The following is a 14,708-nucleotide window of genomic DNA, read 5'->3' on the forward strand; positions in this document are numbered from 1 at the left end:
AAGCCCGCTGCAGAAATTTGCATAAGTAGCAAGGAGCCTAATGTTAATCCTCAAGACCATGGGGAAAATGTCTCCAGGCCATGTCAGAGACCTTCACAGCAGCCCCTCCCATCACAGGTCCAGAGGCCCAGGAGGAAAAAGTGGTTTTGTGGGCCAGGCTCAGGGTACTGGTGCTGTGTGCAGCCTAGGGACTTGGCGCACTGTGTCCTAGCCACTCCAGCTGTGGCTGAAAGGGGCCAAGACAGAGCTCGGGCAGTGGCTTTAGAGGGTGGAAGCCCCAAGCCTTGGCAGCTTCCATGTGGTGTTGAGCCTGCAGGTGCACAGAAGTCAAGAACTGAGGTTTGGGAACCTCCGCCTAGATTTCAGAAAATGTATGGAAATGCCTTGGATGCCCAGACAAAAGTTTGCTGCAGGAGCGAGGCCCTTATGGAGAACCTCTGCTAGGGTAGTGTGGAAAGGAAATGTGGGGTTGGAGCCCCCACACAGTGTACCTACTGGGGCACTGCCTAGTGGAGCTGTGAGAAGAGGCCACCATCCTCCAGATCCCAGAATGGTAGACCCACCGACAGCTTGCACCGTGAGCCTGGAAAAGCCACAGACACTTAATGCCGGCCTGTGAAAGCAGCCAGGAGGGAGGCTGTACCCTGCAAAGCCACAGGAGTGGAGCTGCTCAAGACCATGGGAATCCACCTCTTGCATCAGCGTGACCTGAGTGTGAGACCTGGAGTCAAAGGAGATCATTTTGGAGCTTTAAGATTTGACTGCCCCACTGATCTTGGACTTGTATGAGCCCTGTAACCCCTTTGCTTTGACCAATTTCTCCCATTTGGAATGGCTGTATTTACCCAGTACCTGTACCTCCATTGTATCTGGGAAGTAACTAGTTTGCTTTTGATTTTACAGGCTCATAGGCAGAAGGTACTTGCCTTGTCTCAGACGAGACTTTGGACTGTGGATTTTGGGTTAATGCTGAAATGAGTTAAGACTTTGGGGGACTGTTGGGATGGCATGATTGGTTTTGAAATGTAAGGACATGAGATTTGGAGGGGCCAGGGGCAGAATGATATGGTTTGGCTATGTCCCCACATAATCTCAACTTCAATTATATCTCCCAGAATTCCCACATGTTGTGGGAGGGACCCAGTGGGAGGTAATTGAATCATGGGGGCCGGTCTTTCCCATGCTATTGATAGTGAATAAGTCTCACCAGATCTGATAGGTTTATCAGGGGTTTCCACTTTTGCTTCTTCCTCATTTTTCTCTTGCCGCTGGTGTGTAAGAAGTGCCTTTAACCTCCCGCCGTGATTCTGAGGCCTCCCCATGTAAAACTCTAAGTCCAATTAAAACTCTTTTTCTTCCCAGTCTCGGGTATATCTTTAACAGCAGCATGAAAACAGACTAATACAATGATGTACAGTATATACCTATCTTAAAGGAAAGTCTCAAAAATCTTTTACTGATAGTCATAAACAATAAAAAATTTGAAATTCACTGAATCAGAAAATAGAAAGTATTTTCAAGCACAAATAGAACATTTGTAAAAATTCGCCATTTGCTAAATTCAAGCTTTAAAAATACAAAAGATCTGAAAGCATTGCTATATTCTTTGATTAATATGTAATGACATTAGAAATCAATTTTTTAAAAAAGTTAAGTTAAAAAAAGAGCCCTGTACTTGGAAATCTAAACACATACTTCTAAATAAATGATAGATCAAATAAGAAATAATAGTGAAAATTAGAAATTATTCAGAACTGATTTATAGTGAAAATACTATAACATATCACAACTTTGTCAATGCTGACAAAACAGAACTTAGAAGGAAATTTATACTGCTTAAATGTTTATATTAGAAAGAAGAATGGCTGAAAATTAATGAGGTCCACTCAAGAAGTTAGTAAAAGCACAACCACATAATTTCCAAGAAAATAAAATGGAGGAGGGAATGAAACTAATGAAATAAAAAACAAAGGAGGCAGGCAGATCACTTGAGGTCAGGAGTTTGAGACTAGCCTGGCCAACATGACGAAACCCCGTCTCTACTAGATAAGAATACAAAAATTAGCTGGCATGGTGGTGGGCGCCAGTAATCCCAGCTATCTGGGAGGCTGAGGCATGAGAATAGCTTGAATCCAGAAGGCAGAGGTTGCAGTGAGCCAAGATCATGCCACTGCACTCCAGCCTGGGTGACAGAGTGAGACTCTGTCTCAAAAAAAAAAAAAAAAAGGAAATAAATAAAAAAGATACAATAACAGCCTCACAAAATCAAAAGTATATCCTCTAAATGATTAATAGAGTAGTCTCTAACAAAATTTATCAAGAGGAAACAAAGGAACAAAGGCATTTCAAGGAAAACAACCCACAGATGGTATTGGTTATAAACATTTCAGCTTTCTAGAATAAATTAGAATTTTAGAAAACATATATCCATCATTATGCGTTAGACAGCTTCCAATATGTCGAGACATTCCTGATGAGAGCTGTGGTATTAACCAATGTGATTTTTAAAAATACTGTAAATAAAATGTGACAGAATTTGTAAGATCTACATAACTCAGTCTTAAATGTGAAAAGCAAAACTTACCACATTCAAGAGATAATATAAAAGAACAGCTTTATCACACTAGGCCAGTATAGAATAACTTAAAAACATACTCCAGAAGCATACAACCATAAAGGAAAATACTGAATTGGCTATATTAAAAAAAAACAAAAAACAAAACTCTGTACAACAACAGACAGCATTTAAAAATTAAAAGACAAGCTACAAGGCTGGGTGCGGTGGCTCACGCCTGTAATCCCAGCACTTTGGGAGGCTAAGGTGGGCGGATCACAAGGTCAGGAGATCGAGAACCATCCTGGCTAATACGGTGAAACCCCGTCTTTACTAAAAATACAAAAAATTAGCCGGGTGTGGTGGTGGGCGCCTGTAGTCCCAGCTACTCGGGAGGCCGAGGCAGGAGAATGGCGTGAACCTGGGAGGCAGAGCTTGCAGTGAGCTGAGATCATGCCATTGCACTCCAGCATGGGTGACAGAGAGAGGCTCTGTCTCAAAAAAAAAAAAAAAAAAAAAAGACAAGCTACAAACTGAAAAATGATAATGTATAACAAAGGATTGGTACTCAGAATATGTAAAGAACCTCTACAAATCAATAGGAAAATACAATTAAAAAATAGTCAAAAGATATGAGCAAACAATTCACAAAAGAAAACAAAGGAGTTAAAACATAAGAAATAAATGCTTAATCTTACCAGTAGTCAGGGAAATTCAAACAATAAGATGGCACATTTCATGCATTACAGTGCCAAAAGTAATATGTCTAATAACACCAAATGTTGCCGAGGAGAGTTCCTGTTGGTGGTAATGTAAGTTAGAATACCATTTTGGAGAACAAACTGACAACATTCACTGAGGCCAATGATGTATATATCATATATCCTCCTGAATGTACTCTTAGGCATATATTAATACAGCTAAAGAAAGTCTTTCACATGTGCACAAAAGGCAGACAAAAGTATGCCCTCTGTAATATTGTTTGCAGTAATAAAAAGCTGGAAAAAAATCCAAATATCCTTTGCCAGGAAAATGGATAAACTGTTAAGGAGGCAGACAATGGAACACTGTACTAGCAGTTTCCATTTAGTTAGTTTGACTGTATTTAGCAGTCAAACTAAATAAATCCCAAGCATGTAACATTGTACACAAAAAATAGATGCAAGAGAATATGGGCAGCATGATGCCATTCACAGTTTTAAAACATGCAAAACAAATAATATAGATTGTTAATGGCTATATTATATGCAATACAAATATAAACACATTTGTAGGAATGATGAGTATCAAATCAATATAATAGTGGTTACCTCTGGGAAGGCACAGAGGAAAATGGCGTTACAACTAAGCAGAAAAGTTTCTATTATACTTGTAATGTTTAATATGTAAAAAACAAAAATCACATGAAGCAAGTATGCCAAAAGGCAAGCAATTCAAAAGGCAGCCATTCATCTTCATCCTTTTATGAATGTTTCAAATATTTCTTAAAAAGTCCTCAAAAAACCTTAGACAACAAACTCTTCTGAAAATACTTTATTATTGAAGATAAAAAGAGGCATTGTCATTAACTTTATCTCCATCTTCTAATCCCACTCTACCCTTATATAAATCCTTCTCAATATCAAGGAGCCTAGGGTGGGAGCATTGTATATAGTGGAGGAGGGTGATAGAAAGTTAACATTTGCTAGACAAAATATATTATCTTATTTAAATTGCTATTAAAGACATTAAAAATGGGATTCAGAGAGCTTGAGCCACTTGCCCATAGTCTCACAACCAAAAAGAAGTGACAGTAAGATTCAAGCTGAGTATGTCTGGCTTCAAAGCCTCTATTTTTTTTTTTTCACTACTGTTTTGACAGCAAGAAAAGAATTCTTCTTGAAGGTATAATTAACCTATCACCTGTTCCTATGTCCAGGATAGAAGTAACACAAGTACTGCAGCTTGTTCATCATGTCACACAGGAGCATAGATCCAGGCAAGGAAGTGGTATTATTGGAAACTGTGGAGAAGGAAATACATGCAGAGTTTGATGATATAATAATTTTCCAAACTTATTATTTATGCCATGGGCCATTTAGATTCTTATCTCCTCCTAGGAACTTTGGAGGTGATGCCAATTTTACAAATATATTCTCCAAGTCCACTAATCTACGCAGACGTTTGCTCCCTTTCCATTGTGAGCTGAAAGAGCACCTATTGTTGGTAGCGAACAACTTTGAGAGTTTAACAAATATAAATACACTCAAATATGTTTCCTAAATTACCAGAATAATGGAAGCACTAGACTCTCTGTCCAGTTTAAGGCCTTGGTTTTATACCTCTGAGACAAGGGACAGTTGGTGAGGTATAACTTTTATTTATGTATAGTAAGCCAAGATTTATGTAGTCAGTTACTTTGGCTGTCATTCAGAAACCAATTCCTCCATTGCCTCTCTTCATCATTACTGATTTTTGTTTCCTGGGAAACAACATAACTCTAATTAGAGAATGAGCCCACATTCCAGAGATGCAAATCCCCCTTTCCTCCCTCAACTTTTCCTTGGTCTCTTTGGACCCTCGTAACACAATATCTGGTGGCCCCAACTGTCCTTTTCTCCTTGCCTTGGCAGAAATCCAGTGCCTAGAGCTATGTCCTCCACTTTTTATCTTCCATCTGCAGAGTAACAGTGAAAGATGTAGAGGCCTGTACCCCAGGCAGCTGTACGACTCAGACTGGATCTGCACTCAGGCCTGCTGGCTTGCTAGAAATAAAAGACCATTAACTATGGTGTGGGGATGGAAACCTCTGCTAAATACACACATAGGCATGACCCCCTTCCCACGACGTGTCCCTCTCTCTCTTACTCTCTCTCTCTCTCACACACACACACATACACACACACACACACACACACCTTTGAGAGGAGAGGGTCTATAAAATTCCCCACATATGGTGAACATATTTTAGGGGAAGCACATGACTAGAGGCCAGTGGGAGAGAAAGAAAAAGAAAATAATGAGAAAAATCTTCAGTAAGTCTGAATTGTTCCAGTCAGACTGCTGAGAAAGAATGCAAAGGATTGGAGATGAAAATTACTGGTAAAAGTCAACATTGTAACATAGCTAAATCCTTTCCCTATTTCAAGCCATCATTAGAACATTTTCTAATGTTCAACAATAGCACACAGAAAAATAGCCTTTATAATTTAGCTGTAAGTAATTTGCTTAACACAACGAATATAGCTGAAAAAATCACATTATAAAATAATATTTTTCTCTAACTCATAATTTCAAAAATTCTTAATTTTACTTGTAAATAATTGTGTGATGGGGAGGTGGGTATAACTAATGTTAACTGGAATTGGCTCCCAAAACATTAAATAAAATTGTTTTCTAAATTCTTATCCTTTCTGTTACATATTTAATGATCAATTAAATGCTTAAATACACTATAAACCTACCAGTATAAAGGAAATAGCAAAAAGCCTTTTAAAAATGTAGATAAATAATCTCTAATTTATCTGTTTTGTAAGTTAAGGACTGATTTATCAAATCTTCTCAAAATTAAACCAGAAGAAATTATTTTTTCTTCAGCTTTAAAGAGTCATTGGTAGAAGGTAATCAGATCATCCAAACACAAACTGATAATAAAAGGTCTGCATAACTGAGTGGTGTAGTAGAAGAAACACTGGCCTAGTGTACTCTTGGGCTTCATTTTTTAAGGGATTTCTAGCTAAGCTGAGTTTAGATTTTTACATGAGGGCAGGAGAGAGACGCTGATGTGTTTTTAGTAGAAAGGTGACTGTGGCTGCCTTGTGGGGAATGAACTGCCAAACTGTGAGGCTAGGGCAGGAGTGAAAGAGTAATTTAATTGTTCAGGTGAGAAATAATGAGGGCCTTGAGGTCAGCCCCAACTCCCCACTTCCCCTCCACAAGCATCTCCAGAAGCAGAGACGTGAGGGCTGGAGAAGGGTATGTAGGCAGGGGACAGAACAAGGTTCCCGCCTCATGAGTACATCTTCCGTAAGTGGTGCTTTAGGGGAAAACCGTAAAAGCCCTGGCTTTGCCACCTACAAACTGGGTGACCTTAGGCAGCTAATGAAAAAGTTCTATATGCTGAGTATTTACTAAGTACCAGGTACTGCTCAAAGATAATTTTAAGTACATTTTCAATTTACTTAATCTCTTCATACCTTAATTTATTCATTAGTGAAAGATAACAGTAATATTTAATTCCTGTGGCTGTTTTGATGATTAAGAGAGAAGTCATATACATGAAATAGCTTGGTAAACCTAACACATTGTGTTTTTCTTTTTTGAGATAAGGTGTCACTCTGTCACCCAGGCTGGAGTGCAGGGGCGTGGTCTCTGCTCACTTCCACCTCTGCCTCCTGGGTTCACCCGATTCTCCTGCCTCAGCCTCCCTCCCAAGTAGCTGGGACCACAGGCGTGCGACACCACGCCTGGCTAATTTTTTAATTTTTTTGTAGAGACAGGGTTTCACCTTGTTACCCAGGCTGATCTGGAGCTCCTGAGCTCAAGGGATCTACCTGCCTCAGCCTCCCAAAGTGCTGGTATTACAGGTGTGAGCCACCATGTCCAGCCAGCCTTACACATTTAAAAATAGTTTTCTGGCCAGGCACAGGTGGCTCACACCTGTACTCCCAGCACTTTGGGAGGCTGTGACAAGAGGACTGCTTGAGCCCAGGAGTTTGGGGCTGCAGTGAGCTATCACTCCACCACTGCACTCCAACCTGGGTGACAGAGTGAGACCCTGTCATAAATAAATAAATAAATAAATAAAATAGTTTCCTAATAAGCATTTTTTTATAAATCTGAAAATGATATGATTATTTTCTTTTCAGCTCCCCCACTACTGAAGACTATACAGATTGATCACCTCACACTTGTTAAAATGACTATTATTAAAAAGATAACAAGCCAGGTGTGGTGGCTCATGCCTGTAATCCCAGCGCTTTGGGAGGCTAAGGTGGACAGATCATTTGAGGTCAGGAGTTCGAGACCAGCCTGGCCAACATGGTGAAACCCTGTCTCTACTAAAAATACAAAAATTGGCCAAGCTTGGTGGCAGGCGCCTGTAATCCCAACTACTTGGGAGGCTGAGGCAGGAGAATTGTTTGAACCCGGGAGGCAGAGGTTGCAGTGAACCAAGATTGTGCCACTGCACTGACAAAGCGAGATTCCGTCTAAAAAAACAAAAACAAGATAATATGTGTTGGCAAAGATGTGGAGAAAAGGGAACCCATGCACACTGTTGGTGAGAAAGTAAGTTAGTACAGCCATTATGGAAAACAGTATGGTGGTTCCTCAAAAAAATTAAAAACAGGACTATCATGTAAGCCAGCAATCCCTCTAATGGGTATATATACAAAGGAAAGAAAATCAGTATGTCAAAGACACATCTGTACTCTCATGTTTATTGCAGCACTATTCATAATAGCCAAAATATGGAATCAACCTAAGTGTCTATCAACAGATGAACAGATAAAGAAAATACAGTATATACACACAATGGAATACTATTCAGCCTTGAAAAAGGAAATCCTGTCAGTTATGACAACATGGATGAACCCAGAGGACATTTTGTTAAGTGAAATAAGCCAGGCACAGAAAGACAAATACAGCATAAGCTCACGTACATGTGAAATCTAAAAAATCGAGCTCATAGAAGCACAGTAGAATGGGGCAAGAGGAAATGGGAAGATGTTGGTCAAAGGACACAAAAAAAGTTAGACGAGAGGAATAAGTTCAAGAGATCTATGGTACAATATGGTGACCATAGTTAATAATAATGTATTGTATACCTGAAAATCACTTAAAGATAGCTAAGTATGTGAGGTAATATATATGTTATATAGCTTGATTTAGCCATTTTACAATGTATACATATTTCAAAGCATCATGTTGTACACCATAAATATATGCAATTTTTATTTGTCAATTTAAAATAAAGAAAAAAGAATTCTTCCTAGCATTGCCTGTTAAAAAGAAGAAAAAGAAAAAAAGACTTTTTTTCTTGATTTTTGTATTACAAAACATAAGTCATCACCATGATGATCTTTCACCTACTAGAACTCTGTATATAATGGGGTCATGTGGCTAAGATAATAACTGTTTCCAGAAGACTAGTTTATTCACTTATACTTCTACTTGAAAATGGTTCTAAGAAGCAAAAGCCAATACATGCCTTCATGGCTCTAAGATAAGGCATGAGGAGGACCTTTCCATCATCACCCATGAACAAACTGAAGCATTATGGCCATTCTAAAGAAGCTGATGTCTAATGTTCATTTCCAGGCAATCCACGGGCAGTAGGTAAGCACAGCTTCTACTCAAATTAATGAAAATGGTGATGAGCAACTATGTGGGACAGCAGTTTATAGTCACTAACCATCAGTTAACACAGATTAGTGTAAAGAGAAAGCAACTAAAAAACTAAGGTTTATTTTTAAGTTCAAAATAATTAACTTTATAGCAAACAGAAAACTTGATCAATACATCAAAGGTGTGAAAAAAAGTAGAAGCATAAAAAATCAAAGTTTTAATTCTTTTTAAGCCCAGGACTAACTTTACAGGAAATAAATTAAAATTTGATGAACAAATCAAAAGGCATAAAAAAAAGAGACTTAAGATCCATAATCAAATGTAATATGTGAACCTTGGTAGATCTTCACTCAAACAAGCCTACTATAAAAGTCATTTTTGGGAGAGTCAGGGTAATTTGGGTATTAGATGATAATATGGAATTGTCATTGTTAGGCGTCATTACAGTATTATGGTTATGTAAGAAAATTTCCTGAATTTATAGTGGCATGCTAAAATATTTAGGGATTGGAATGCCATGATGTGTGGTATCTGCTTTGAAATACTTCAACAAAGAAAATAACATCAACCAGGCACAGTGGCTCATTCCTATAATCCCAACACTTTGGAAGGCCAAGTTGGGAGAATCACTTGAGCTCAGGAATTTGATACCAGCCTGGACAACGTTGTGAGACCCCATCTCTCCAAAAAAAAAGCCAGGTGTGGTAGAATACACCTGTAGTCCTAGCTATTACTCAGGTGGCTAAGGTAGGAGGATCCTGAGCCCAGGAATTCGAAGTTGCAGTGAGCTATGATCACACTACTGCACTCCAGCCTGGGCAACAGAGCAAGACCATATCTCTAGTTCAAAAAAGAAAAAAAAAAAAAGAAAAGAAAGTAACATCAGTGAGACAAATAATGAAATGTTAACAAGTGATGGGGTATAGTATACTACTCTCTCTATTGTTATAAATTTTTTTAAATATTTTTAAATAAAATTACATTTTTTAAAAAGGGGGAAAGAAAGCCTGATAAAATATCCCATCCATCCATCCATCCATAGAGTTGTAGTAAGGTTGGTTGCCTGAGCCAAAGGACGAAATGGCTAAGACCAAGTTTATCTTAGGTTACAAAGACACCTGAGGAAATTTTTCATATTGCCTTTGTGAGACAAATTGTATAATGTAGGCAAGATGAGTACCTCCCTTAAATTTTGCTGGCAAACTATCAAAATTCTCCACAATGGAGCTGAAGTGAGGGATGGCAGGAGGTGAATTATAAAACAGCTTTACAACTGCATTAAGGCTATGAGGAGAAGACGGGCACATACCAGTCAAGTCTGTCCCTTCCACTCTCTGACCTAGACCCAATGAGCTCATTAGGTTCCATTTTAAGAGAAGGTGAATTTTGTCCCTCCTTAATGGGGAAGTCTTTACAAAGTCTCCCATATTGTGGGTTACTTCTTCAATTGCTATTTTGAACAACAAAGTTCCACATGGAAGAACATATCTCAATTATTGCAAATTTTAGATGCTTATGAAGATCACTGCTAAAAATCCTTTACAAAGTGAAAAAAAATTATACTATGGTAATCATTCCTGAGAGATTGAGCTCAAAGTGCAAGTATAGGATGTAGTTGTAAATAAGCCTTTAATATTAAAGATCACTTTAAAAAGCAATCTGGCAAGTGGTTACTTTGTGGAGATTAGACATTCATCTACAAGAAGTATGGAAATAGGTACTCGTGGCTGGGAATACAATTTTTAGAAATAGTATCAGCTAAGGATCAAAAGCCAGCTTGTATTAAAAACAGCTTAGATGAAGTGAAGATGATGTGCTTTGCAAAATGCATTAGGTGACTCAAAAAGTGGCTCTAATGATGAACAGCTCTCCAACATTGGCAATGGATGTGAAGCTCCAGGCACATTCTTTTCAGAAAGAAGGTGAGAGTGCTTTTGAGATAGGATGACCAAGAAGGCGAGAGACCCAGGGACAGCTAGTTTGTAGAAGGCAAGACCTATACAGTAAGGACCTACGGGGTAAGATACAAATGGTACATAATAAATGTCTTTCCAAGTATTTGAAGAGCAGTTGTGTGGAAACAGAGTTGATTTATTGTTTTTTACAGAGCAGAAATTAAATGAATGAATGGAAACTATATGGAGGTAGATATTTGGTCAGTAAAAGCAAGTATTTTATAGTAACTGGATCTGTCCAACGCTGAATTTGAAAAGTCATGTGTAAGCAAAGCCTTCCTGACCAACTATAAGGAATGAAGTTGAGGTAAATTGACTTTATGGTCCTTTTAAAGATCAGATTCTATTATTTTATCAAATTATCTACAAGCTGGCAACAAAGTTGATAACTGCATTTATTTTTTAAACATACAGTTGGCCCTCTGAATTTGTGTGTTCTGCATCCATGGACTCAACCAAACAGCAGATTGAAAATATTAGGAAAAAACAACTAATAAAAATAACACCGCCACTATATATACACTATGGAATACTACACAGTCATAACAAGGAATGAAATCATGTCTTTTGCAGCAACATGGAGGCCAACATGAAATACAGGCCATTACCCTAAGTGAAATCATTCAGAAACAGAAAATCAAATATTGCATGTTCTCACTTATAAGTGGGAACTAAACAATAGGTACACATGGACATATAGAGAGAAATGGCAGACACTAGAGACTCCAAAAGCCAGGAAGAGGATGTTGGTTGAAAAATCACCTATTGAGTACAATGTTCACTATTTGGGTGACAGGTACACTAAAAGCTCAGACTTCACCACTACACAACATATCCATGTGACAAAACTGCACATACACCTTCCTAATCTCTAAAAATTTAAAAAATTAGTGTATATATATACATATATATGAAATCAGTGTGTATTTAGGCATCAAAAAATAACAATACCACGATAGAAAAATAATACAAATTAAAAAACAATACAGTATAACAACTATTTGCATAGCATTTATATTGTATTAGGTTATTATAAGTAATGTAGAGATGGTTTAAAGTATACGAGAGAGTATGTGTAGGTTATATGCAAATATGATTCCATTTTATATAAGGAACTTGAGCATCTGCAGATTTTGGTAGCTTTGGTGGTCCTGGAGCCAACACTCTTTGGATGCCAAGGGATCATTATACTCTTTTCGTTTATCACATATTTTTTAACTGTCTGCTCTGTAAGAATCATTACATTAAGTTTTATGTATAACAAAACATATATAAAAATAATGATAGAAATGTACAATCAAGGAAGGTTGCATATATACATGCATGTTAACATGTACCATAGCATGTATAACATACCATTCCTTGGCTGGGCTTTGTCCTAAGGTTAAAGCAGATACATAATGAAGGCATGATCTAGTTAGAATTTTCATCTTTTTCTAGGGTGTATCTTGATTGCCTTGTCTCTAGGCCAGACTATCGGCCTGTCCAAGAATAAACTGATTCATCCATAGTGAAGATATGAGTCAAATATTTTGGCTTTACTATGAAGCCTTTCTTGGCTTAGACACAACACACTGGGACTTTGTCTTCCAATTTCCCAACTTGTGCTATCAAATCTTCTCAAAAACTATTATAAAAAGAATGAACAATGGGAATCATCCAACAGACCTTCTAAATAGAACATCTAATAAAGCAACATTGGAATTACATAAAACTATTGGTCACTAACTTCTATCCTTGATCACAAGGAGATTAGTCAACAACACAAAGTAATCAGTTTGAAAGCAACCCAGCATAGCAAAACAATTCCAGGGCTAGAAGTACTAATGAAACACAATTCTTGGTATATGAAGCATCATAAACTTACCGAATACAGTGGAGGAAAAGCTGAAAAATACTCTTGCAATATAATGATACTTAATGATATAAATACAAGTAAAACATTAAGCTGAAAAAAATCACATTTGAAAAAGTCACCTTCAAACACTTTTTAAAAATCACGAGCAGGGGCTGTATGAACCATTCAACATTTTTTCCTCAAATAATCTACACATAAGAGTTTTCTCAGTTCTAATCTGAGAAGCTGACCTGAGATTGTTGGAAAAGGATGCTTTTTTCCGGGTTTATGCCACAGGCAAGAAGAACAGCAGTCATGTCCAGGATGCTCTGCCGAAGGACAGCTGGGTCTTGGGGGACAGTAATGGAGTGGAGGTCAACAATGCTGTATAATACAGAGTCATATTCATCCTGTAACCTCACCCAGCTCTCAATGGCTCCCAGGTAATTGCCCAGGTGGAGGATTCCTGTAGGTTGAATGCCGGAAAATACTCGCTTCTTGCTGTCTTTCTGGAACAAAGGAAAACAAGCATATTTGCTTTTGAGGCAGAATCCCATGAATCCTATGCCCATGTTATCATAGCTATGGGAGCTAGTTATATTTTTGTAAACTACAATCTGACAGTCATCATCATCCATTTATTTTGTGCCTACACTGTAAATCACTATGCTAGGTGCTACTAGGCACAAAAAAATGATATTAAAAATGTTTTTGCACTCAAACATGGACAAATGCAAAGACATATAAGAAAAGATCTGCAGCCGGGCGTGGTGGCTCGTGCCTGTAATCCCGACACTTTGGGAGGCTGAAGAGGGTGGATCACCTGAGATCAGGAGTTTGGGACCAGCCTGGCCAACATGGTGAAACCCCGTCTCTACTAAAAATACAAAAATCACCTGGGCGTGGTGGTACACCTTTAATGCCAGCTACTCCGGAGGCTGAGGTGGGAGAATTGCTTGAACCTGGGAGGTGGAGGCTGCAGTGAGCCAAGATTGCACCACTGCACTCTAGCCTAGGCAACAGAGCGAGACCCCGTCTCAAAAAAAAAAAGGAAAAGATCTGCATCCCCAAGAGCATGTGATCTAATTGGAGATAGAGGGTATTGTTTATGAAAAGATAAGTAAAGGTATAACATGGTAACATGATCATGACCAGTTTGGAATGATACAGAATAGGGTTCAGAGAGGAATTCCCAAGAGGAAAAGATAACTGAGGTTTGGTGGTCAACGAGGAAGCCTTCAGACATAGAATGAAATTTCACTGGAGATTAAAGGGGCCTCAAGGGTTTTTCATGTCATTTAATTTATTTTGCAGTTAAGGAAATGAAGGCCTTAGCATTAGTGCTAAAGGCTACTACTATTGCCTTAAGATTTTTTTATATTGTTGATATTATAATTTGGTGTATGAGATCTTGGGCTAGAAATTAGAAAACATACACTCTATTTCTAATATTACTTCTTAATAAGGTTATTTACATTTTCTATGCCTTGGTTTCCTTTTACTTTTAATAAAATCATATTTGGGTTTTCAATTCTTCAAAAGGAAATTTTAATTCTACATAATTATTTAAATTATAAAAAGCATTTTTACTCTGGTCATATTTTCCCTTTGGTTTGTACTTTCTAATACTGAAGTCATAATAGGAAAATGAAAAGAAAAAAAATGCAATACAAAGTAAAAAAAATTGCTATTTTTCCCCTGAATTATTTTATAATACATTCCATAGTGAAAAACCAAAAATGAGTATGTATCAATAAATATACTGTAACTAAAAGGCCCTGAGAAAATATAATGCATCATTATCATTTTTAACCACCACCACAGCAAAACAATAGCAGCAATAATTTACTGAACAACTATGTTGCAAGCATTTATGCCCAGTGCTTTACATATATTAATGCATTTAATCATTTTAATACCTAATATGGTAGGCATATTATTACCTCCAGTTTATAGATGAGAGACGTGAGGCTCACAGATTTAACTAGATTGCCCATGGTCACACAGCTAGTAAGTGGTGGAGTTGAGGTTTCAG

The 14,708-nt window shown here is 37.8% G+C and overlaps 1 protein-coding gene across 13 annotated transcripts in view; it reads right to left on the minus strand.

The window, feature by feature from the left end:
• The window catches only part of WARS2 (tryptophanyl tRNA synthetase 2, mitochondrial), a 109,457-nt gene that overhangs the window by 32,210 nt on the left and 62,539 nt on the right, over positions 1–14,708 (minus strand). For 10 of the 13 annotated variants that reach the window (XM_017000038.2, NM_201263.2, NM_001378231.1 and 7 more), the window contains one exon: positions 12,925–13,182. The exons of 1 other annotated variant lie outside the window; for it this stretch is intronic. In XM_017000038.2, the coding sequence (XP_016855527.1) occupies positions 12,925–13,182 (258 nt within the window). The remainder of the gene's footprint in view (positions 1–12,924; positions 13,183–14,708) is intronic. 2 more of the 13 variants (XM_047429105.1, NM_001378228.1) reach the window with 1 other exon arrangement.

This window comes from Homo sapiens, chromosome 1 (genome assembly GCF_000001405.40).
Source record: "Homo sapiens chromosome 1, GRCh38.p14 Primary Assembly".
Classification (NCBI taxonomy): domain Eukaryota; kingdom Metazoa; phylum Chordata; class Mammalia; order Primates; family Hominidae; genus Homo; species Homo sapiens.